Source organism: Homo sapiens, chromosome 8 (genome assembly GCF_000001405.40).
Source record: "Homo sapiens chromosome 8, GRCh38.p14 Primary Assembly".
In the NCBI taxonomy this organism is placed as follows: domain Eukaryota; kingdom Metazoa; phylum Chordata; class Mammalia; order Primates; family Hominidae; genus Homo; species Homo sapiens.
In genome coordinates this window covers 120,202,100-120,229,405 of record NC_000008.11, presented here as the reverse complement: position 1 = coordinate 120,229,405, position 27,306 = coordinate 120,202,100, and the positions used below count along the sequence as shown (strand labels likewise).

Genomic DNA, 27,306 nt, shown 5'->3' with positions numbered 1-27,306 from the left:
AAATCATCATTCTCAGTAAACTATCGCAAGGACAAAAAACCAAACACCACATATTCTCACTCATAGGTGGGAACTGAACGATGAGAACACATGGACACAGGAAGGGGAACATCAGACTCTGGGGACTGTTGTGGGGTGGGGGGAGGGGGGAGGGATAGCATTGGGAGATATACCTAATGCTAGATGACGAGTTAGTGTGTGCAGTGCACCAGCATGGCACATGTATACATATGTAACTAACCTGCAAATTGTGCACATGTACCCTAAAACTTAAAGTATAATAATAATAAATAAAATAAAATAAAATAAAATAAAAAGAAAAAAAAAAGAGGAGGGCAAAGACCCCTGGGGAGGCAGCTACGTTAACATCCCAGGTAAGGTGCATGAGCATCCAGACAAAGATGAAAGAGGTAGAGTGATGTATCAGTGAGATCAGTTGACTAGGAGATCCATGGGCATTTAGTGGCAAGGAAGGTGTTGAGAGGCTCTGAGAGGCGTGAAATTTGAACCAGTGTGCCAGAAAAGGAAGGGAGGGTCATCTCTTTTCCTAGTTAATAATAAATAAAACCAGGATAATATAACATCTGTTTAAAGAAAATTTTTAAAGTGGTTAAGCAGGCTACTATTTGACCTTACCTGAAGTCACAGATGTGGTAGGCACTATGGTTGTAGCTGGTTCTGTCCAAAAACTGTCAACTAAAAGCAATATATTACTTTAAAATGCTGCAAAAACAACTGTCCATTTTTCTATAGCATGTTGTAGCTTTCAAAGAACATTTCACCTATATTATCTCACTTGCCTCCCACAACAAACATGACAATGGTTAGAAGACGAAAGAAATGAATTGTAAGTAAGGCAGACATACCTGTGCCACAGATAAGAAAACTGAAACCCAAAGAATGTTAAAGTTTCTCATCACAGATACCAGGCTTCATATAAACATTTGAACTACATCTACAGAATTGTGAAACCACCCAATTACTTTGAAATAGGGGCACAGCCATGGTAATTAAGGGAAATTAGACAGTGCTGTAGACCAAGTTGTGAAAAGGCTGCCAAACAGGACCACCACGGAATGCAATGTGCTTGGACAAGCAATGCATCTTCTATTTCTTACAGCCACCGTGGGCATATAGCAGAATGAAGTACAGATGTGGTGCTCTTCCCAGATCCTCTTTTTAGGGTCAACACACCAATCCACTTGGTGCTGGAACACTGCCTGCCAACAGTTCACAGCTCTGGGAACTGTCTCGCCTGAGTTCATGGCCTCTGTCAGGGAATGGCTCACCTCCAGCGACTGGGGATGCAAGGGTATGAAGTCTCAGCCCCTTTGTCTCAATTTGGGACAACTCAGAAGGGTCATCCCAGCACTAGACCTCCATTATAATAAGATTAGCTGAGGGTTCAGTTTCAACTTCTTCCCATGCCCCCTCCTGCTGTCCTCAGTTTTTTACGTAAGCATCTCCCAACTGCACTCTTCAATAAACTTTCTGGCTGCAATTTCTGTCTAGAATCTGGTTCCAGGGAACCCAGGCAAAGGCAATTTAATATGTGGTCAATACCTCATATTTTAAAAATGAAGAGATGAATGAATCAGCAAGTAAATTTTGTACAAGACTCTTGGAACCAATATCAACTTGGAAAATTCCAGAAACTCTTTGACATGTTGGCCCTAGGTTTATTTGTTTGGCAATCTATTCATTTGTAAATTATTTTATCCATTCTTGCATACATCCATTCATCTATCCATCCATCCATTTGATGGGTGTTTACTCTACAGTTAACATGTGCCAAGTACTGTGCTAAGTCCTGGAAAATATAATGGTGAGCAACACAGATATGGTCCCTGCCTTCATGTTGATCATTATCTAGGAAGCTAAGATGCTTCACATACTGGTTTCATTGAAAGTGAAGATATATGAAGAATTCTGGGGGACAAAGAGAAATTGAAGCTTACATAGCCAAAGATAAAGCAGATGGGGAAGGAAATTGATGGGGTAAAGAGGGATTGTGGGAGCAGCTAAAACGCACTGTGGCCAGACCAAGACTTACGTGTGGTCCCGACAGCAGTCACCACCTCACTCTCGCTTCCATCATCAAGTACGGCCAATAGTGAAACTTCATACTCCGTACCGGGCTCCAGGCCTTCAATAACATGTGAGTCCTGCTCTTCTTTCAGGACAACCTGAAATATATTTTGGTGCTTAGTAACTATGCTTATTTGAAAAAAAAGTAAAGAAAAAGTGTTATTCTGAGCATAAGCAAGAAACAACCAATCATAAAGAACTCCAAGGCTGTCGAAGTCCATTTTAAGGTCAAGCCAGAGACTTTATTCCTTTCAATCCCCTCAGCAAATAAATTATTAATATTGCAAAAGTGACATTTTAAAGTTGTATTAAATGTCATTTATTAAAGTCAAAGAATCTGAAAATATATAAATATATAACTAAAGCTCTGGCAACAATACATCATAATATTAGGAAAATCTTATGATTTGACATTTCTAAAACTCCAAGCCATGTAAAATACTAATTACTTCTGGGATTCCTAATATATTTTAAAGTGAAGACCAACTCCAGCAGCAGTAGGTATTCACTAATGCTCCAGATTAATTTTCAGTCTGTTTCAGAAAACTCACCTCCTCAGTCTTCCCCCCATAGACTGGAATCCACATCAATTTGTGTAGCCCTTCATCAGCTGAGAGGGGATGCCAGGTCACCCTAAAACTGTCTGTCGTCACCTCATCAATTTCTAAGTATTGCTGGGCTGGAACTTCCTCTGTAAACCGAGGAAGGAGGTTTTGTTAGGGAAATGAGAAGGCAAGAAAGCCAAAACCCAAGTATCTCCCAGGGGTGTAGAAGACTCTTTGAGGAATCTTTTGCTTTAGGAAAGCACAGGAAAGAAGGAAAACTGGGGCCCATCAGTCCAGGGTGGCCTTCCATTTCTGTTTCCAGCATTCACCAATATCATAAATTAGGGAAACCATGGAAATAACAGATCTTAAAACTTTTCCAGTAATTTCCAAAACTCTTAGCTTTTCTATTTGGCTGTTTTCATTAACTATAAAAAACAAGAGTGCCATATTCATTTTTTTTTTAAATATTATTTTCCAAGTATCTTGAGGAAATTAACAAAATAGGGGCCTAAGAAAGCTTCCCTTTTAGTTCTATTTGCTTTAGTGGCTAAATTGCTCCCTGGTATTAATCCTGGAAAAGAAACTTCAATCTTTTAACTTGTACATATGGTGGTCATCAGAAATGAAATAGAATTTATCAGGCCTTCCACTGTTTCAGAGCTTACACACTTCTGGGATGTACAACAGAAAGTATAACACCCAACTGCACCCAAAATAAATTATCAAAGAATTGATTTTTATTATTTGAAGTCAGAGTTTAAAAACAAAAAAAAAAACATAAAAACCCAACTTTTTGATAGGACACCATGAGAATCCCAACTAGAATTAGCCTTCTGGAGATTTGGTTAAATTACTGAATTTTTCCACAAACATTATTTCTCAATCCAGCTTCTTTTTCATCTGTCTCCAAATTACCGTCTCATCTCCTCAGTAGAGACTACATTTGTTTCCAAGTGCAATCCATGATAAGTTCAGAAAGCAAATAATAGAATTGTTGCCACCAAGAGATAAAAAGTGGCTACAGGGTACATATAGAAAAGAAAAATAATGTATTCATGTCTTATATTTAATTTTAGTGTTTAAAATATTACTTATTATTATATGAAGATTTCAGGCTCGGGGAAAATCATCGACTGATATATTGAGCTAAATAGTATGAGACTGTCATTTTTGTGGGCCAAAACTGTTGGAGATCAGCAATTTTGGAAATTCAACTTAATACACACACTCATTTGAATGGAAGAAGGATGTAGAAGTTTTACACTAAGGAATGAAAGTAAAAGATATAAGATTAGGAAGAGAAAAACATACATTTTTTTAAAAACAGACCTTTTGAATTTAGGTGGTCTTTTCTCTCTCTTCCTTGCTTTGATAAAAAATAATTAGCCACTACACATAATAGTCATCCAATTGTTTATTTTTTAATAACATAAAAGAAATAAAAATTAAAATTTAATCTCTTCAAAATCACAAATAAAGAAGGTGCTCCAGGTTCTGGTTTCTATATATTAATAGCTACTCTCAAAACTTTTCAAACCATAATGAGGCTGCTTACCGGTGGTAAAAACTCCAGTCAGAGGCTCTGACTGTCCTTCATCATAGATGGAGAAAATAGCAATAGTATACTCTGTGAGAGGTGTCAAGCCCTTCAGAGGGAAGGTAGTAATAGGATCGACTTCAACCTGTCAAAGAAATAAGTCATAATAACAGCTCTATCTAATGCTAAGTATAAGAATCATTTTATTATTGTCTGTAGCTCGCTTAGCTGACAGCAAAGCTATAAACACTGCAAAACAAATTACTGAATTATAAAACCAGTTTATGTATGAACATTTCTGATCTTACACCCTTAGATTACCCATCAGTGAATTCTCAGGACAACTTTGCAATCAATATTCTTTCCATTCATTCCAGACACAAAGTGCAGACAACTTAAGAGGCAGACATAAATAGAGATAATGTTTCCAGTTAGATCTGCTAGTAGCAGCCAGTTTTTTGCTTCACTGCGTGGGCTCTCCTGGCCCCATAGCTAAGTAATACATGATAGCTCCTATAAGAGTTGTACAGGTGAGCAATGATGCTGGGAAAGAATCAGGGAACATTAATACTAAAGAAAATAGTAAATATTTGAAACATTCCTCTATCTTCCACAGAAAGACATATTTGGTGAAAATATTTTCCAACTTCTTTGGGGCATATAAAAGATGAAATCCCAAGGAATGGAGATCAAGGGTGTAAGAAAAATTAAGGATTAGAAAAGAGAACTTGACAACAAAAAACATACATTGAAAAAAGAAACCATAAAGTAAGAGAAGATGGGTGGGTTGGGCTTCACGGGAGCAACACCAAATGATCCCCCGCAGTACTCTGAGCCCTAGGATTCATTTTCCTTTTCACAGTAGGTGGCTTAACCAGCATTGTGTTAGCAAACTCCTCATTAGATATTGTGCTACACGATTACACGCCTGCAATCCCAGCACTTTGGGAGGCCGAGGCAGGTAGATCACTTGAGGTTGGGAGTTCAAGACCAGCCTGGCCAACATGGTGAAACCCCATCTGTACTAAAAATACAAAAATTAGCTGGGTGTTGTGGTGCGCACCTGCAATCCCAGCTACTCAGGAGGCCATGGCAGGAGAATCGCTTGAACCAGGGTGACAGAGGTTGCAGTGAGCTGAGATCATGCCACTGCACTCCAGCCTGGGTGACAGAATGAGACTCTGTCTCAAAAAAAAAAAAAAAAAAAAAGGAGATGAGGGCAGGGTCTAGAAGGCACCCTCAAGGCAAGAGAAAGAACAGATGCAGCTTTGTCACTGAGGTGTTGGGCACGGGGCTGCAGCGCTGCATAGTACAGGGTGCATATTGTAGACCACATATATGGGGCCCACACCTAGGTATTTCACATATATTCTCTTTAATCCTCACAAGGACTTATAATAATGCATAATGAGGTGCCCCAACTGTGGTGATACTCTGGAAAATTTAAGAAATGACCATATTTACCTGAGAGCAACCTCTGCCAAAAATAAGCTCTGCTTAAAATGTTCTCATGAGACATTTGAGCAGAGCAATAAGATCCCTTTTTTTGTTGTTGTTTTTTGGAGACAGGTTCTTGCTCTTGTCAGCCAGGTTGGAGTGCAGTGCCACGATCTTGGCTCACTGCAACCTCCGCCTCCAGGTTTCAAGCTATTCTCTTGCCTCAGCCTCCTGTGTAGCTGGGATTACAGGCATGCGCCACCAGATCCGGCTAATTTTTGTATTTTTAGTAGAGACAGGGTTTCACCATGTTGGCCAGGCTGGTCTCAAACTCCTGGCCTCTAGTGATCCACCCACCTCGGCCTCCCAAAGTGCTGGGATTACAAGCGTGAGCCACTGCACCCAGCCAAGATCTCTTATTTATGATACTATCAGTGACTAATCTTGATGCTACCTGAGGTTCAGGGGAAGGTCACTAAGCTCAACACTGTATGTGTTTGCTCATGGCAAAGTAACCTTTAGCAAAATATAAAATGTCACCTCTCTACTTAAACCTTCATTGGCTGTCTATTGCACTCTGAATCAAAACCAAGCACCCTGAGATACCTCTTGGCCTTCATAATCTGGGGCAGCACCTTTTCTTTCTGCCATACTCCAGTGGCCTTTTGGGTTCCAGCCACACTGGCCTCCTTTCAGGTCCTTGCCTTTCCCACCTCAGGGCCTTAGCACATGCAGTTCACTCTGTCTGTGACCCTATTCCCCAGCTCTTGTCGAAATTAGGCCTTCTTCCTCTATCATGACTATGCTTAACTATCACCTCCTCAGAGGAGATTTCTCTTTCCACCTATAAGTAGGGTTATTCTCTGACACCGGCCTTGTTGTTTCCTCCTTGGCACCAATGGCAACCTGAAATTACTTTATTTACCTACATGTTTATTGTCTATCTCCTGCATAGAGTTTAAGCTCCTTGAGGGCAAGAACTTGTTTAGTTTCTTCACCACTGTATGTTGAATTATTTTTTTTTGAGTGAATAGAATAAGTAAATTAAAATGAAGATGAAGGCACCAAAAAAACTGTTTCTTAAAAGAGGTGAGAAAGGTCTTCTCTAATCTAAGGGCCAGTCCAGAAGCCAAATACACCTCTAAAGAATCTACACGTCTGTAGGTCAAAAAAGAGTGCCAACCCTGGAAAAAAGAGCTGTCATTGTACTGTACCATTGTGCTGTACTGAGCCACTCTTCTGGAGAGGGCCAGAGAATCCCAGCCTTTTCAGACACTCCAGTTGAGGGGTCACACATGGATATGAAGTCATCCTAGAAGTTCTGGTCAAGTCAGACTCCCAGATGAATGCAAGAATCACCCCAGCTGACACCACATGGCAGAGCCCAGCTGTCCCTGCTGAGTTCTGCCCAAGCTGCATGCTCCTAGGCTGTATTTTAAGCTGTAGTGTTGGTTACACGGCAATGGTTAATTGAAAATATGGATTATCTTCTTCTAAATCAGGGATTGATAACATTATAGGTCATTTTTAGCACTTATTGTTTGCTGCAGCCTGCAAACTGTCTGCATGCTTTATATGCATTCACTTATTTAATCCTTATCACAATCCTGTAGGGGAGCTAATTATTACTCCCAATTTGAAAATGGAAAAATGTGATTCCAAAAATTAAGGAACTTGCCCAAGGGGAAAACAGCTAGTACACAGGACTTAAACACAGGTGTTTCAGGCTCTAAATCCTATGCTCTTAAACACTATTTAAAGTATGGCTTCATTATTTAAGCTCACAGAAAATACAACCCATGTTAAAAAAATGTGAGTTCAAGACATATTTTCCTAACCTCTAGTTACATATTGCTTTCTGATGTTTTGAATTGTCATGGCTGAGATTTATTGAGCACTTACAAAGAGTCAGGGACTTGATACATATTGTCTTATTTAGAGTCTCTCCCACCCACCTTTACCTATCAAACACTAGGTGCTTTTACAACTATTTTCCGAAGGAAAACCTGAGGCCCAAACAGCTTAACTAACTTGCCCTGAGCCAAAAAATTATTAACTGGAATGTCTAGTTAGGCCTTGACCTTGTTTCTAAGTTTCAAATATGTGACAAATAGGAATTTTGCAAAGATATCAAATATACACAAAAGCAGTTAAAATCTAGGTCCTAGATCCTTAGGTACACCAAAGAGGAAGAAGGACTAAAAGGAGAAACGTGTGTGTGTGTGTGTGTGTGTGCATGTGTGTGTGTGTATCTGTTAAAAAGGATATTGTTTATTAAATATTTGATGCTGAATAGACTATATTTTACATAATTTCAGCATTGATTATTTTACTTCATCTAATGAAGACCTTTAGGTATCATTTATTTATATTAGTTAAAATATCATGTTTTAAACGATTAGTCCCAGAACTGATTTTGCTGGTAGTATTTTAAGATGTAGAAGAAAAATTTGAGGAAATAATAACAAATAACCATGATCTCATTGTTATGAAACTGTTTCTGAGAATTATCCTCAATCAGTCTAGCTAAAAGTTTAACTTCAGCCTAATTTTAGAAGGGATGTAGAAAAGGGCCCTGATGAGGAACAAGGGATTTGGGCTCAACTCCAGGCTCTACTGCTGAGTCACTGCTATTAGGAACCGGCCTCTCAAAATCCAAAAACTGTGGCCTTTGCATTTATAAAACTCAAATGGCAGCACTTAATTCTCCATCATGTTTGTGTACTTCCAAAATCCTTTCACAGTAAATGCTACCTGAGATGACTTCTGTCCGTAGTTTGACAAGTCATGCTGTCAGCATTTGGTTCTGTAAGGATTACATGAGATATTCTCTTTAGAGCACTCGGAACAGTGCCTGGCTCATGGGAAGCACTCAACAAATGTTAGCCACCATTATAATCATCACCATTATTATCATCGTTGTCATCATCATCATCATCACCATAATCATCACCATCATTATCATTATCACCATCATCATCACCATCATCACCATTATCATCACCATCATCACCATCATTATCATCATCAATTAGCAGCAGCAGCAGCATAGACATTTGTTGAAATACTTGTTTCGTTTTTCTTCCTGGTCTCCAAAAAGTTGGGGAGAGGGGTAATGCAGAAAAGATGCAGAGGGAGGAAGAGGAAGTGAGAGAAGGAAGATGAGAGGAAGCGAAGCAGAAAATATTGAGTGTAAATCAAAAGCGTTAATAATCAATTGCATGGGCTGGGCGCGGTGGCTCACACCTGTAATCCCAGCACTTTTGGAGGCCGAGGTGGGCAGATCACGAGGTCAAGAGATCGAGACCATCCTGGCCAACATGGTGAAACCCTATCTCTACTAAAAATACAAAAATTAGCTGGGCGTGGTGGTGCGTGCCTATAGTCCCAGCTACTCGGGTGGCTGAGGCAGGAGAATCGCTTGAACCCAGGAGGCGGAGATTGCAGTGAGCCAAGATCGTGCCACTGCACTCCAGCCTGGAGACAAAACAAGACTTCATCTCAAAAAAAAAAAAAAATCAATTGCATGTTGGGTACTAAGCAGATTTTAATTGGGACATTTTACAGTTCATTCCAGAATGTTTTTTGAGGATTTCTTAAAAACCCAATTGTTGCATTGTCTATAAATAGAAGCTTAAATTCATAGAAATTAAAGCAAAATCTAATAGAAATATTCATCCTTAAAATTATATATTCTAAAATTAGGTACAGTAATACTTCACTTCAGTAAAAGATGCTTATCCAGCAACCTCAAGTATCTATAGCATGGCTATGAATTAAGAAATAAGAAAAACACACACACACACACACATACACACCCTAGTCAAAACCGATGTTACAAAATCCATGCATGGCTTATGCATTTTACTCAAAATTTTCTCAAATCTTCATTCATAGCCCATTTTCTCATATTTTAAGTTTGGTTTTACCAAACATAGCTTTCTAATTTCCCAGAAATAGCAAATGCTAGCAGCTTCCCCAAGACTGAAAAACACTACCAAAAAAACCCCCAAACATATGTTCTCAACAAACATGTTAGTCTGGGGCTATTCTTTGCAAAGACAAATAACAGAAAATAGTAGAAGAAGCTATAGCAGTTGCTATGGTCTGGAAGGTTGTGTCCCCCTGAAGATTCATATGTTGCTACCTGATCCCCAATGCAGTAGTATTAAGAGATGGGGTCTTTGAGAAATGATTAGGTCATGAGGGATGAATGTCCACATTAGAGAGGCCCATGGGAGCTTGTCTGCTCCTTCCACCAGGTAAGGGCACAGGTAGAAAGCTCCAACTATGAGGAATACACCTGCAAATTCAGGTGCAGGTGCCTTGATCTTAGACTTCTCAGCTTCTAGAACTGTGAACAATAAATTTCTGTCATTGGTAAGTTTCCCAAGCTGGGCACAGTGCCTCACTCCTATAATTCCAGCACTTTGGGAGGCCAAGGCAGATGAATCCCTTGAGCCCAGGAGTTTGAGACCAGCCTGGGCCACATGGCAAAACCTCGTCTGTACAAAAATTAGCTAGGCATGGTGGCATGTGTAGTCCCAGCTACTCGGGAGGCTGAGGTGGGAGGATCACCTGAGCCTGCAAGGTCGAGGATGCAGTGAGCCACGATCACACTACTGCACTTCAACCTAGGCAACAGAGACCCCGTCTCTAAATAAATAAATAAACAAAAGTTCCCCAGGCAAGGTATTTTGTTACAGTAAACCAAATGGACTAAAAGAATGCTTATGATTATTATTATATAATTATATTTATAAATATAACTGATATATAAGAAAATTTGTTTTTTGTTTTATTAAAAATTATTACCAAAGGAGGATGCTCTACAATGAACAAATATTTATTGGGGAATATAGTCATGTTACTTTCGTTGTTCAATGAGTCAACTCTTTTAAATTGATAGGTTTTATATAAAAATAGAAATCACTGGTATCTCTCCAGGAATCTTAAGATCTGGCAGCCCCTGCCTGGATTTCTATCGAGCAGCAATAAGTAGAAGCTGAGACTGGCTGCGTCCTGGATGCACACACTTCCCATCCACCAGTCCCTAGTATCCTTGTCATTGAAACTCACTGTCCGTTGTCACTTATCATTAGTCTTGTTTGTTGTCTTTCTTTCAGTAGAGAATTTCTTCTGCATTCATGTCCTCAAAATGGGAAGACAAAATATAGCCTAAGTTAGGCTGGGAGCAGTGGTTCACGCCTGTAATCCCAGCACTTTGGGAGGCCTAGGCGGGCGGATTGCCTGAGGTCAGGAGTTTGAGACTAGCCTGCACAACATGGTGAAACCCTGTCTCTACTAAAAATGCAAAAATTAGCTGGGCACAGTGGCGCACGCCTGTAGTCCCAGCTACTCAGGAGGCTGAGCCAAGAGAATCACTTGAATTCGGGAGGTAAAGTTTGCAGTGAGCTGAGATCATGCCACTGCACTCCAGCCTGGGCAACAAAGTGAGACTCCATCTCAAATATGTATATATATATGATATATATTATATATATTATATATCTATTTATATATTATATATATATAGACATATACTTATATATTTATATTTATATATTTATTTATATTTATATATTATATATTTATATATAGATATATACTTATATATTTATATATATTTATATTTATATATTTATTTATATTTATATATTATATATTTTTATATAGATATATACTTATATATTTATGTATTTATATTTATATATTATATATTTATATATAGATACATAAAAATAGATATATAATATATATTTATTTATATTTATAATATATAATTTAAATATATAATATATATTTGTAAATATATATTATATATTTAAATTATATATATTATATAATATAGCCTAAGTTAGCCTCATGTGTCAAGCAAAACATAGAGTATTTCTTTGCAGGTGTGTCTGCTTCTACAGATTTAATGGCATGCTTCACTCATTTATATTATCTTCCTCATCCTCCTACACAGTTGAATTAACCCTTGGGAAAGTAGTTTATGTATTTCTGGTGACAAAGAGACACCTATAGCTCAGTGTTTTTTTATTTCAATCTTTTTACTGCTCCAGGCTGCTATCTTCAATAACAAAGCAACTCATCCAAATGACCAGACTCTTCAGGATTATTTACTCTCAAGATTTACAAAGGTTTAATGAAGGATATTGAACAGTATTTCTATATGTTAGCAAATGTGTACTTACTGCCCGTCCATTACACAATGTCCCTCATGAGGATGCATTTTGTAAAATATTGCTTGGATTTAATTTTAGAAAAATGTTTGTCTCTGCATATAAAAACACTTGCTTTATTTGGTCAGAAAATAGAAATGATGCAATCTAACATATTTCCTTCTTTGCCTTAGCTTACTGGACCAAGATAAGGGAAAATAAAATAAAAATAACCTCGCTGTTTTGCTAAAACACATTTCCAAGGAAACACTTTTTTGAAAGTATTAGTCACTGCATGCAAGATACTGTATCTTCATGGGTTTTAACAAGTTCCATTATCTGAAAGTACTTCTTAGATAAAACTTGAATTATTTGTTAAATTTAGGCTCATCTAACTAGAGCCTTTCAGATGCCAGTTTACTCAAAAGCAGGATAAACTAGACAACAGTGACATTATTTTTAATACAATGCTTCCATGAACATACACCTTCCCCACCCCCATCCCCTGTGGCAGGCTGCATTTTCCAGAGATGGCCACATCAATGAATATCTTCTTCTCTATATGCTCCTCCTATCCTGTGACTGACCTGTCTCCCACCATAGGTAGGATCTGTGTTTCTCCCCACCTATAAATCTGGGTGAAGCTGGTGACATCTCATACTAATGGAGTGTGATAGAGGTGATATCAAGTGACTTCAGAGGCTGGGTCATTAATGGTGGTACAGCTTCTACTTAGCTCTCTCTCTGTTTGGACATGGGTCATGGGACTCCTGAGCCAACTCCCCTGAAGCTGCATGCTGAAGGCATCATGTGAAGGGTCTAATTAGAGATATGGAGACCTGCTACAGCTCCCAGCTGTTCCAGGCTCCCCAGACCAGGCACCAGATACATGAGTAAAGATGCCATGAGATAGCTCCAGCTCCAGCCACTATCTGGCCCTAACCTCACTGGGGAGCACCCCTCCTCCAGTGATAACTGCAATCCACACCCCAATTCCTGACCTACATACAGGAACTATGCGAGACAATAAATAATTACTATTATTTTAAGCCACTAGGCTTTGAGATGATTGGTTATGTAGCCATAAATAACTAGCACGCCACTACCTAAAAAATATACATTATGTCCCGGAACTTACCTCATTGATTTCAGTCCCATCTGCATTGTTATATACAATTCGATAACCATTGATCTGTCTTGAAGTTGGGTCCCAGGTTAATCGAGCACTGTTAGAGCCAACATTGGAGATTCTCAGGTTTCTTGGTGGACTTAAAGCCACTTGGCAGTAAATGGAATAGAAAATAATTAAAATGTCAAATTACATACATGTAAAAAGAAATTGCATCTTTGACTTCTAAACTATTTACATATGAAAAGTGTCACCTAGATAATAACTTATAACACTGAAATAACCAGTGTATTGTCTCATAAAAATCAATAATGTTCTCTAATTAGCAAAGAAAAAAGTTTTCTTTGTAGAGAATAAATAGCAGTAATAAGTTACACATGGTTAGAAATAAATAGGATTTAGGTAAATTTTCTCGGCCTATCACTCTAGCTTGATGTAAGTAGGAAACTTAATGGATTAAAAACAAAGTAACTTGAAATAAAATTTTAGCTAGTCCACTCAATTACCATGTGACTCTGGCAAAGCCACTCTACCTCTAAGCTCCACAATTTTCCACATGTAAAATGAGATGCCCATCTGCCATTTCCACGTTGGTATCTATTAGGCAACTCCAACTTAACCAGTCCAAACAGAATCACTGACTCTTGATGCCTTCCCCTCTTGCCTCTTCCCTCAGTCTTCCCCTCTGAGCAAATGGAAACTCTATCCTTCCCACTGATCAGTCAAAAACCTTGGAGCCTCCTGGATTGCTCTTTCTCTCGCAACCCACTTCTAATCCATTATCCAGATCTGACCCCTTCTCTTCACCTCCACTGCCACCATCTTGGTAGAAGCCACTATCCCCTCTTGGCTTGGATTTTTGCCATGGTCTCCCAGCCAATCTCCCAACTTCCATCTTCCCCCTACTATTAATATAATTATTCCTCAGCAAGCAGCCAGAGTGCTTCTTTTAAAATGTCAGCCAGGTAATTTCACTTCTCTGCACAAAACCTTCCAAATGGTTCCCAACTCCCTCAGCGTAAACCCACAGTTCTTAGCATGATCTTTTCTTTTCTTTTCTTTTTTCCCCTCCCTTCCTTCCTTCCTACCTTCCTTCCTTCCTTCCTTCCTTTCTTTTCTTTCTTTCTTTCTGACAGAGTCTCACTCTGTCATCCAGGGTGGGGTGCAGTGGAAGGATCTCAGCTTACTGCAAACTCCACCTCCCAGATTTAAGTGATTCTCATGCCTCAGCCTCCTGAGTAGCTGGGATTACAGGCGTGTGTCACCACACCTTGCTAGTTTTTATATTTTTGGTAGAGACGGGGGTTTCACCATGTTGGCCAGGCTGGTCTTGAACTCCTGACCTCAGGTGATCTGCCTGCCTTGGCCTCCCAAAGTGCTGGCACTACAGGCGTGAGCCACCGCAGCAAGCCTAGAATGGTCTTTATGGCCCTACATCAGTGGCCTGCTGCTATTTCACTGGTTCCATCTGCTACTACTCCGTGCCTTTTCCATGCCACTAGCTGTGACTGGAACCTGCCACGCATGCTCATTCATAGGCCACTGCACTTGCCTTCTCTTTGCCTTCAAGGCTCTTCCCCTAGATATACGCATAGCCAGTTTCTTTGCCTCTTTCAGGTTTCTGACCATATGCCACCTGCTTGGTGAAGCTTTCTATGATCATCTTACGTGCAACAGCTCTTCCACTCCATACTACCTGTCTCCTTCTTCTGTTCTATTTTTTTTCACCGTATATTTCTGGCTTATTGTCTCTCTCCCCCAGGATATTGTAATCTCAGGGGGTTAGATAATTTGGTTTCATTTTGTTCCCAGATCTATCCCCAATATAGCAAGTACTCAATAAACATTCATTGAATCAATGGGTAATTATTTGACCTGAATAAATCACAGTGGCTTTGTGAGACAAATAAAAATAAACATCTTACTATTGCTTTAAAATTATTTAAAGAGGTATTGGCATTTCTGCAGATTCCTAACTGTCAATTCCATAGCTTTTTGAACCTCTTCAAGGACCCCTATCTAATTCAACAAATTAAAAATTGTCCATAATTTTTGACAGCTTCATGAGCTCTTTACAGGCTTATTGTAAAAATAATTGTTAACATTTACTGAGTGTTGTCCATGAGTCTGACACATAGCATATGTTAACTTATTAAATTCTTACATTAGAATGCAAGGATAGAGTTGCAATTATCCCCACTATATTGATCACAAAATTGAAGTAACTTGGCCAACGTCCCAGTTACTAGGAACAGAAGAGCAATTAGAATTTAACCTAGAAAATTGATTAACTGATTCCAGAGCCCATGATATTAACCAGGATGCTAATTTCTCCTCTCTCACTGTTTCTCTCTCTTACTCACACTCTCTCATCCCACAAAGTCAGTGCTGATAGAGCCAGCAAAGCAAAAAACTTGAAGACAAATCATGACAATTACCAGCCATAGCCACGAAGCATGATGTTTCCTAACCTCAAAGCCCAGTTCTTTCATTAATTCAATACATACTGATTCTTTGACAATAAAGATCTTGTAGGAGTTAGTGAATCTCTTAATAATTAAGGTGCTAGAGAGAAAGTGTAGAAAAGAAAAAAAAGCAATATAATTAAGTAGTGTGCACATTTGGCTCTAAATTTTTCTGGAATTCTATTACATTTGGCAATATAATAGAATAGTGTCTAATTTACTTAGCACATAAAAATGCCAGCCTCAGGAACAAGTATCTAGGATATCATTTTTTAGGACCTTTTTGCTAATCATGGGAAGGAGTTGTACATATTTTTAAGAAGTATAAAGAAGTGAACACTTTGAGTGAAACAGAGATGGGCTGTTGGGGAAAGCTTTTCTTTCAAATGGTTAGAGTCCCAGAATTCACTTATGTGGTGGATGCTTTCTAGCATGATTTATTTCTTTTCTTTTTCTTTCTTGGGCTCTCCCAGAGCTTTTGTTTGTTTCTTTGTTGTTTTAATTACATTGGTCTTTCTCCGAAGAGCAAGAATAACATAGTCTTGACTAACAAAGAGTGGATGTGTGCAAACTTCTTTATCATTAAACTTCTATTTTGTTTTCCCAAATGGAATCTTAATGAGAAAGGCATTGTAGAAATTGTGCTATTCATCTCCCGAGTCTAGGAGAAGAGTGGTGAGCAAGACCCCAAGTCTCCCTGCACTTTCTTATGTTTCAAAAGATCACGAATAGAGCCATATTTTAATAGTATGTGGTAAGTATTATCAGTATGCCACAGTAATATTGTTTATACCATATTTTTAAAAATAAATGCATACATTTCCCAAAAAGTTCTAGGAATTCCCTACATTTATCCAAAATTAGCCTTACCAACAAAATTTTTACTCAATTGAAAATGAATTACAATAGTAATAGGCTCAGTTAAAGACAGCAAAGATTTTTAGGAAAAAATGTTTGTTAATTTTGATATGAGTGGAAAATAAACAGATATTCAGTAACTATGTGCTGAGTGTTTTCACATATACTACTGTATTTAATCTTATACCAACCACATGCTGCAAGATTATTGTTCTTCCTTTTATACAATCAAAAAAGTTGTATCAATCACCCATTGTCACCTGGCTAAAATATGAGTTGAGCTGAGATTCCCATCTCAGCTGCTATCTTGCAAAGCCTACACTCTTCCCTCTAGATTCTGACCTGCATTTGAATTTAGACAAAGAAAGACATAGGTGGAATTATCTGGAGGATGCTGAAGCTTGGTTCTGGCAACCTTATCACTCATAATAATATAATATATAAGAAATACATTTCCTTGCCCTAAATAGAACATGAGATTTTTAAAATTATAATTAGCTTTTAAGAGGTTTCAACAAAACTAGTAGTTCCAATTCAGAATCCCCACATTCATGTGGGCTTTTACTACAGCATCCCAACTGAATGGCTGTGCTGCTCACATGTTGTTTCTTGTCCCGTAACAGGATCACTGGCCTCTTCTCCAAACATGGCATAAACTGTGACTGTGTATTCTGTATTGGGCAACAACCCACTCAATTCAATATCTGTGTGGGTCTCTCCAATTTTCATCTGAAAAGAACACATGTTGTTAGATCATTTGCCAATACATATTATTCATGCTGATCAGAGTGGAACAGAACAAAGGTGAGACTTCATGGGATAAGACTTTACGTCCTGTTACAACCCCTTCATCAAACAGGCTTCAGTCATAATTTTTAAATTGTCTTGTGTCATTTTATACTAGGAACAGATATTATGGAACCATATAAGTCGAAAAGTACCATGTGAACTGTGTTAGGATAACTCTTTACATCTGGACAAATGGCAACTCCAGCCAGAATAACAATGTTGAGTATATGCTCCCCAGGAGAAGGTGGGTGGGATTGAATCAGAAATGTTCTCTAGAGACTGTGAGCTCCAGGCCAGTGTGCTGGAGGCAAGGCCAAGTGGGCATCTTTCAGTATTTGGCTAATACTAACCAGTGCTCTGGCCAGATGCCCAGTTTTTGCTTCAAACTCAATGAAGCTGGGCCAGTTTTGTGTCCCCATTCAACAAGAGAATCCACGCAGTTGAATTGCAAGTTACTTCCAGTATTCAGAAGAGATCAACTCACCTTGACACCCAACTTGGCAATTTGCTTTTTTGATTCTTGAACACCTTTTCTGACCCTTGGATTCAAACTATCCAACATTCTCAGTTGTGTGACAGTAGAGTGACGAGATAGTTTTATGTTTTGGAAGGAAAAAATAAATCTCCAATCTACAGGCACATGACTGCCAGGATTAATCATCAAATTAAAATTTTGAATTTTGAACTATCTCAATATATACAACATAAACTTACAGAAAATAATATAATACACACTGATGTACCCATTACTCAAATTGGATAAATATCAAATTTTTGTCATATCAACTTCAGATTTTATTTTTTAAAAAACTAATATATTCAGATAAAACAACAGGTCTTTCTCATTCTTTCTGTCCACTACCTCCACCCTAAGGTTGATGTATATCTTACTGCTGCATTTTTGTACTTCTGTATGTGTATAGATATATCTATAAACAATATATGATCCTGTATGTTTCACAATGCACATAATGGGATCATATCAACACAATCTTTTTGCAGCTTGTTATTTTTTCTGTGTTAATATTACATTTTGAGATTTATCCATGTTGATACATAAGGACAGAGTTGACATCATTAATTCCTTTATGATATTCTTTTCTATAAATATACCACTATTTTCCATTCCTCTATTAACAGGCCTGTTAGTTGTCTGCAATGTTTTATTCCAACCAAGTGCCTGCATTGAAAAATGCTTGCAAGATGTTTCCCTATGATACATTTCCAAAAAGTAGTATATATCTTCAACAGGATGAAATATTTCAAAATATCCTCCAAAGGAGCTGTACCAATCTATATGCCCGCCAGCAGTTACAGGAGCGATTCTTTTCCTGTGTGCTTATGAATACACAGTATTATCAGACTTTAAAATTTTTTTGCTAATCTATTGGTTTTAAACTACTATTCCTTTTTTTTTTCTCTTTCATAGTGAGGCTGAGCATCTTCTCAGCACTATTTGTAAGTCTCTCTTTTGTCAAAATAATTTAGATCAACTTTAAATTCAAATAGACAAAAGCCATCTAAGCCTTGGAAATAAAAAGACACATGTCACCAATACTCTGTTCTTGACACTCAGATTCACCATTTTTTTGACCCTAAAGATTTCAATCATCAGGGACAGGCTTTACACAATTTTAGACAATCAAGTTCTCTGAATTGCTTTGCTTATTAACTCCACCTGCCTGGTCATTACACTTCCAAGTGCCAGAGATTCATCCTCTTCATTCCTTAAATGTCTGCATTATAGCTATTGTCCACTACAAATTAAAAATGAGGACTAAAATGTTTGAAAGTCATCTGAAGGTCAAAGGTTCATCATTTAAAATGGAATAAATTCAAAATTTTGCACCAATGAGGTATGTTTATCTACCTCTCAAATTAGTAAGAAAAAACTTAATTCAGTGTATATGGAGAAAACAGTCACTTATGCACCACATAAAGCAAAACATATAACATTTCTCTAGAGCCATTTGGCAATACTGAGTATAAACCTTAATAATTTGCCTACCCTTTGAAAAATAAACTCTATTTCTAGGAATTTATCCTAGGGAAATAATCAAACAATTATGCAAAAACATATGTTAGGAATATTCACAAAAGCATTATTTATATAGCAAGCTATCTAAATATCCAATAACATAGATTGATTAAACATGATCTGTTCAAACCAACAGTAGAATACTATGGGTGTATACAATGACTTTGTAAAATGTTCTTTAATGACATGGAAAGAGCTTCACAACAAATAAAATGAAAACAGCAGGCTACGAAACCATTTCCATGTGTTGCTTTCAAAATGCATCGACAAAGACTGTTAATTAAATGTTAACAATGGCTATCTCTCAGTGGTGGGATTATAAGTGTTTTTTTTTCTTTTGGCTAATCTGAAATTTCTAAATTTTCTACATTAAATTTTTACAATAAAAATTTTATTTTATTTAAGGAAATAAAAGATTCTAGGACTGTAATAGGTAGGAAGTGGTTACCTCTTTTTCATCCCCAGCCAGGCCCTCTGTTAGAGGAGCATAAAGGATCAGGTAACCTGAGGCCCCAGGCACTGCATCCCATTTGACTCGCATGCTGTTCTCAGTCACGTCGTACAGTAGAAGGTCAGAAGCCATCGGTAAAGCAACTGCAAGAGATTTTTTTTTAAATGTTGAGCCACTTATATATGTGTCCTTGAGAAAAATGAAATTATCAAGAAATAAGATTGACCATATTTGAGGGGAAGGGAGAAAGGGATTAAGAATAAATTGCAAGTTCCTGGGTTAAACAATGCTGATGAAAAACAGGAAACACTGCTGTTTTCAAATATGGTTCTAGACCCTCCCTAATGTGACCCTGCCCTACTCTTCTAACCACAGTGTCAAGTTCAGGACTTTGCTGACATTTCCAGCTCCTTGTACAGGGATCTATGAGAGTGCTTACAGCCCTTCATTGCACTAATCTGTTTGCATGTCCTTGGATTGCGTCCCCACCCCCTACTACACTAAAACATCCTTTTTCTTTTATTTATTATTTTTTTGAGACCTGTTCTTCCTCTGTCATCCAGGCTGGAGTGCAGTGGTGCAATCTTAGCTGCAACCTCTACCTCCCGGGCTCAAGCAATCCTCCCACCTCAGCCTCACAAGCTGGGACCACAGCTGCGTGCCACCATGCTCAGCTAATTTTTGTATTTTTTGTAGAGATCGGGTTTTGCCATGTTGCCCAGGCTCACTAAAACATCCTTGAGAATAAGGATTGTCACTAAAATATTTCTGCAAAGTGAGGGCATTAACACTCATCCGACAGATTGTTGCCAGGGATAAATCCAAGAAAGTTCAGAGAGTGATGATCACAGTGCCTGGCGCATTGTGATTAGTGTTGTTTACACTGTTATTGTTCTATCAGAGGCAGATTTTTTAGAGCAATTTTGCATAGTGACTTGCATGTAATAGGAACTCTGTTAATATTAGAAATGACTATAAGATGTTCGATCTTTTTTTAAAGATTATCTCTTCTCATGATTCTGTGTGCGTGTGTGTATTATGTGTGTATGTTGTCATGGTGTGTTATTACGATCCTACCCAGGGAGGGAATTATTAGTATTCAGAAGCTTGTTTTACCTACAATGATATGAACAATAAAGATAGCAGTAACATAATTTCCTTGGCATTCAATTGGGCGGGAGAGCTATGGAGTTTTTTCTCTACTTCTACTGACAAATTCAAGGACAATTCTTAGTTCATAATAGGCATTTACTAAACACTTATTTAATAAATGAATGAATGTTTTTTGTACTCTTCACCACCAAGATTGCTCTTAAACCTATCAGAGATTTATAACAACTTTTTCAAGACATAGCACCGGCAAGACTATATCAAGCATGGACCAGTATCACATATAGCACGACAAATGTCTTCTATGAATTTGATTGAATTCGATTCAGGATGTCTATCAACATGACCTGAGCAGAATTTCAATTTAAGAAAGGCCTCCTAAGCAGCACTCTACAAAGTTAGAAGTGGGGTAGAATTAAATACATACGTGTAGTTTCAGTTCCCCGTAGGCCTTCACTAGCAGTGTGGGCATAGATTGCAAAGACTGCTATCTGATATTCAGTTAAAGACATCAAGTTTTTCAACACTGTGGAAGATACAGTTCCATCTACCACCACCTGTTTAAAGAACAGTTTGAGTAATGAGAGTATGGAATATCTTACACGCAGAATTGAAATCAAAAAGCGAAAATACGTCCAGCAAAAATATTTCATTGAATATTTTCTTGTTTGTGCCACATCCCCCTTTCCACTGTGGCAGTCAACTCTCTTTGAATTCCTAAGTGAAGTGATGCACCTTTTATGGAATGTGTCTAGAAGTCCCTTATTAATTCATATCTAATAGAAATAATTGTGTCAATACCAGGCTAATTATTATCCTATTTACATCCACTTAATAACAGTAAACATGATATTTTTCCATAGAGCTTTGGGAAACATTTAAAAGATTTATTAGTCATGAAAAATAAAAGAATCATTGGAAGCACTCGGATCTTTTTTTTTTTTTTTTGGTCCAAATGATTTAAGACTCCACAATCTACTTTTCTAACACTTAAAAAATATCATAAATCCTACCATAACACAGAACATTGTGAAATATGCTGAGGTCAGTCAGAGGCTAGAACAACAAAAAGAAAAAGACAAAAGAATTTCATCGTGTTTTAACTTATTGCTTGTGAATTGTGGTATCAAAGGTAGGAAATGGGAAGGATCTAATCATCTGGCAATAGGTGTTCTCGCCTGTGTTGGCCAAGCCATAAAAATATGCCAGCCATAGCGGCTTTATTATGGCTTTTCCATTGCACTAATCCCTACAAATGTCCGGAAAACTCCAAGCCTTGGAGGACTAGTCCATATATGACCACGTACTTTGGAATTCACAGACTTAACTAAGGCAGAAAGCTCAGACCACTCCCAAGTAGAAAAAATGCACAAATAGCAAAAGGGGTCCTGGCCAGATAATTAGCTACTGATACCTTTTACTTTAGAACTTATTAATTTTAAGAAGAAAAATACGTTGTGTTAGAAATTCATACCTGACCAGTTCTGAGTGTTATTTGGAGAGATGAAAGATGTAATTGCCATAACTCAGAGATAGGGGAGAACAATATGAACAAGTGGAAATGTATTTCAGTCAAATTCTTTAAAATGTCTGTGACGGAATAATCTTATATTTATATTTCTGCCTTGTTCTCACTATTGTAGAAGACTTGAGAGAATAAAAAGAATGGTTTGAAAATACTCTCTCCTTATTACCTCGTCTGGTTTTCCACCCCTGGTAGGATAATACACAACTCTGTATTTTTCCACATTTCCTGGGGCATGAGTCCAGTTAACCATAAAGCTTCTGGCAGTGACTTCAGAAGTAATCAACTCCGTAGGCGGCCCAGTGATGGCATGGGCTGAGGCTAAATTAAAAAAACATATCAAATAAACCTCTTACCCAAAGTTATTTCTTATGAAGCTAAGACATCTCATTAGACAGAAATAAATATTGATTTTATGCTGCCTCTAAGATTTTCCTCTTTAGATAAGTTGATTCAGTTATCCATTTGTTCATTCAAACATTTAAATGTCTATTAGGTGCCAGGTACTATGCTAAGTTCCGAGGATACCAAACTTAAATAAGACATAGTTCTTGACTCCAGAGAACTTTCTTAAATTAAGGTCATTGTTAATAAATAATAAAAACAAACATTAACAGCCAGGCACAGTGGTTCATGCCTGTAATCCCAACACTTTGGGAGGCCGAGGCGGGCAGATCACCTGAGGTCAGGAGTTCAAGACTAGCCTGGCCAACATGGCAAAACCCCGTCTCTACTACAAATACAAAAATTAGCGTGCATGGTAGCAGGTGCCTGTAATCCCAGCTACTTTGGAGGCTGAGGCAGGAGAATCACTTAAACCGGGAGGCAGAGGTTGCAGTGAGCCGAGATCGTGCCACTGCACTCCAGCCTGGGGGATAGAGCAACACTCTGCCTCCAAAAAACAAACAAACAAACAAACAAACATTAACTAAGCATGTGTGTATCAAAAGGTACTCTTCAGAGTCTTAAGAAGTTTTTTTTATCTCATCTACTTCTCCCTAGTTCCTATTACTGTTCACACTTCATATATGAGAAAATCAATGCACAGTGAAGTTAGCTAACCTGACCAAGGTCTCACAATTAGTATCAGAGTTGACATTGATATCTGGGCTTGACACAAGAGTCTATGTTTTTAAGCATCAGCGAACACAGGCTCTATACTAAAAATTTCAATTCAACAAGTGACTAATACCTAAAAATTTAAAAAAAGAAAAAGCAACTAACATATACTAAATGCCCACTATGAGCTCGATACTAGGTAAGCATTTGTGTGTGTGTGTTACACATGTTAAAGCAAATGATTCTATAAAAATTTGGGACATGCAAAATCTAAGTGGAAGGGGAATACAATATGTAAATTATAATAAAGAGCTTAAACTTTAGAATTTCTCACCCTTTAAGAGCACTTACTCAAAGGGACTTTAATAATCTCAATTTTTAAAATACTGTTTTGAACACAAACTATGGGCAGGAACTTTATTACATGCTGTATCATCAACCACATGTAGACTATTTTGGAAAAACTGAGCTCTAAAGTAGCTTCACTTTGAAGCTCAGAGAAATGTGTTCAGGATCATACTGCTTGGGTGCCCAGCCCAGCCCCACAAGATCTAGCCTGGGGAAAGGGGAATGATGATAGAGAGAAGGACATGTAGCCAGAAAGAACCATTTCACACTGGTTACAACAGAGGCAGCAAATAAAACCAGACTCTTGAAAGAAGACTTGGATATTACCCTCTTCTCAGATTACAACTCTATAAGGCAAGCACAATCTGCAGACCAATGATATGATATCTCTCCAAATAAAGTAAGTGCTTTACTCTATTCCTTTTGCTGAGTATAACTAAAAACTCTGGAAATTATATCAAAGACAAGCATAAGAAGATGCTGAAAAGTAGAGAGAAGAAGGTCAATGAGTGCAGAACTACAGGGCTCAGGAGCTCCCAGCGGTGAGCTCCCACTTCCTTTTACTCATATATCCCAGACATGGAGCTAAAGTATCTGGCAACCTAGAAACACCAACAGATACAGACTAAAAATTGCTAACAAAATCTTCTCCCTCTAGCAAAGGACCAGGAAATGGCCAGCCTACCAAGACTGAAACGTTTTAAACATTTTTGGTAATAATTGTTCTACTGCAGACAATCAACACAGAAAAAAAAAATGTGGCCACACCTTTACCCATGCCAGCAAAGGCCTAGTGGGAAGTCAAAATTCCAGCCTTTTTTGGCTGTAATAGGGTGCCCTAACATCCACCCCAACCCCCTCATGCCAGCTAGGTTGGTGTGAGAGGTCAAGTAGAGAAGAGATATTCATCCCCAGCAGATGGTAATGAATCTTTTCCCCTACAATCCTATCTATGATATCAAGAGAGACCACATGAAGAGCCTGCCTGGACCCTCAACCCCACTTGGGAGTAATGAGGCACCATTCTCCCTCACTCTGTGACAGTGTCAGAGGAGACCTAGCAGTGAGTCAGGACTTTCACCACCGTCCAGTAGCAAGGAGGCCAGTCTTAATGAAAACTACATTAAACAAAACATGCAACCGGGATATGATCCAGCCATTGTACTACTGGGCATTGTCCCAGAGAAATGAAAACTTATGTTTGCACAAGAACCTCCACATGAACATTCACAGCAGCTTGATTCATCATAGCCAAAGGCTGAAAGCAACCCAGGTGCCCCTCAATGTGTGAATGGTTAAACAAACTGTGGCACATCCATATCATGGAATCTGGCACTCAGTTAAAAAGAAAGAGCTGTTGACACATGCAACGACTTGGATGAATCTCCAGGGAATTCTCCTGCATGAAAAAAGCCAGTCCCCAAAGGTTACATACCACATACCTCCATTCACGTAATATTTTTGACATGAAAAATATTGGAGATGGAGTAGTGGTTGTCTGGGATTAGGGAGAGAGAGTGAGGGATATAAGTGAGTGTGGCTATAAAAGGGAACAGGAGTGATCCTTGTGGTGGAAATGTGCTGTGTCTTGCCTGTGTCAATGACAAGTATTCAGCTTGTGGTAATGTAATTAGTTTTACAAGATTTTACCATTGGGAAAACTAGTAAAGAACACACAATCTTTCTATGTATTATTTCTTACAAACTGTATTTGAATGTATAACTATCTTAAAATTAAAAGTTTAAGTTTTAAATAAATGTAAATGTAACATTATGGAGAAAATCATCTTGTGTTTAAAGAGTCCCTCCTTCACCCCCACAAAGCCTGCTAATATACTCCCTTTTCTACTCTGACGGCTCAGGTCTTAGGGGAATAAGGGGTCTTCAAAAAGCCAACATGAAAAATGAAAAGAATTTTCCCAATTCACAATAGGCTTGTGCACCATAATACTGACATCCACAGGACTGCTCTGTCACTCATTTTACCTTTAATTTCTCTGTCCTGTTCTTCCACTCTAGAGCAGAGAGTCCTGGTCAGACTCTCCACAACTGTGTGCATCAGATCGAATTCGGCAACATTGTACACATGAGTGCTGTCTGGTTCAGAGGCGATCTCCTGCAGCTCATTCACATCCGCGTTTTTCACCCCTTACACAGAGGACAAAAAAGAGAATGGTGACTTTTATGCCCCCTTGGAAAGAGTGACTGCGGTGGGCCTGATCTGACCCAGTCAGTCAATCTTCACTGCAGTCAAAGCATCATCTGCTACTTGTATATATATATTTAAAATTTTATTTAAAATGCGCACACGAAATAAACCGATGAAATGAAAAAATATAGTCATATCTATTATATAACACAAAACAATAGCTCTGATTCTAACAAATTATTCATATAGAAAGAAAATAAGCAAAAAAAGGGAAGAGCGAGCATATGTACCATTGCCAAGATGAAAGCTGTTATATGCTTGTGTTCTGGTAAACAACACTTGGGACCCCCCCCCACCCCCATCTGAGAGGCTGTTTCAGTTACCCTCCCCACTTCTGGTGGACCTGCAGTCTTGGATTTGGTTAAAAGCATCTGCCACTTTAAAGAGGAACATTTCATGTGAGATTGCTTTTTACAGAAATCAGTTGCAGAATCGTTTTTAAATGATTAGATATTAATTTTACTCAATACATCATAACAGGAAGATGACTTAATAAAACTAACTTCTGTTTTGCATGAATATTGCAGAAGCAATAGTAATTAAACCAGCATCCTAAACTATCAAAGCTTCAGGTTTAAGTTTCTATAAAATAAATTTACTGAAATTGAGAAATACTGCTAGAACAAATATATATATATATATATATATATATATATATTTGAAATTATTATTATTGTATAGCATTAAGCCAAGGAGAAAGCTAGGGAAAATTATTTTTTAACATACTCAAATACAATTTGCTGTCTAGTAACCACTGCAATTTTACTAATGTAAATAGAAAATTCCTGGTCCTTCCACAGTATCTACTGAATACCATGGTCAAGCACAAAGTTGGGTGTCTGGAATACAGCAGGGAATAGAATAGGACAGAAAGCAGTGAACACGAACCCTTAAAAAAGAGTGTGATCACTGTGCCCCCAAGCACCATAGTAAGTGTTTTCCATATAATAACACCTTTAATCCTGACAATCAATCCTATGAGTTTGGAACTATTGTTCCCCTATTTTATACTGCCTCTCAGAAGACTGCACATTAAAATGAGTAAACATTTACCAACAATGTTAGAGATAGGAAAGGAGAGGCATGAGGTTAAGTTTTATGGGTATGAAGTAGATTTCCCTTCTCCAAGCCTCATCAAACAAGGAGGATTTCTTTATAATCCCCGTCATTTCAATCATCGGAGGGTATTAAAAGGAGGTTCTATAGAAGCAAGGAAGAGAAATTACCTGGGGCAACATGAATTACTTCTTAGATGGCTGGCTGTGCCAATTAATTTATCTTTCAACCCCAACATATTGAGCAACAAAGCATTAGTTGTCTCTGAACTATTTGCTTTAGGAGGTTGCAGGTTAATAAATACTGCTGATTTCCAAGTAATTTTCAGAGAAGTCTAAATCACATCTGGATGAATTTACTGAAAGCTTTGCTTAAAAACTCACCTATTCATCATTAACAAGAGCAGAAAATGGAGAATAAACATATAAATTAGTTCTCCATTAGTTTAAGTCTTTGGCAGAGATTTCCTTTATTGGACAAAAGGACAGGAAA

At 38.0% G+C, this 27,306-nt stretch overlaps 1 protein-coding gene across 11 annotated transcripts in view; it reads right to left on the bottom strand.

The window, feature by feature from the left end:
- The window catches only part of COL14A1 (collagen type XIV alpha 1 chain), a 249,120-nt gene that overhangs the window by 144,168 nt on the left and 77,646 nt on the right, over positions 1 to 27,306 (bottom strand). For all 11 annotated transcript variants that reach the window (NM_001413490.1, NM_001413491.1, NM_001413493.1 and 8 more), the window contains 10 exons: positions 25,536 to 25,697; positions 22,312 to 22,463; positions 21,045 to 21,174; positions 19,505 to 19,650; positions 16,829 to 16,958; positions 12,916 to 13,055; positions 4,192 to 4,318; positions 2,640 to 2,779; positions 2,054 to 2,186; positions 637 to 696 (listed from right to left, as the gene is read on the bottom strand). In NM_001413490.1, coding sequence (NP_001400419.1) covers positions 637 to 696; positions 2,054 to 2,186; positions 2,640 to 2,779; positions 4,192 to 4,318; positions 12,916 to 13,055; positions 16,829 to 16,958; positions 19,505 to 19,650; positions 21,045 to 21,174; positions 22,312 to 22,463; positions 25,536 to 25,697 — 1,320 coding nt within the window. The remainder of the gene's footprint in view (positions 1 to 636; positions 697 to 2,053; positions 2,187 to 2,639; positions 2,780 to 4,191; positions 4,319 to 12,915; positions 13,056 to 16,828; positions 16,959 to 19,504; positions 19,651 to 21,044; positions 21,175 to 22,311; positions 22,464 to 25,535; positions 25,698 to 27,306) is intronic.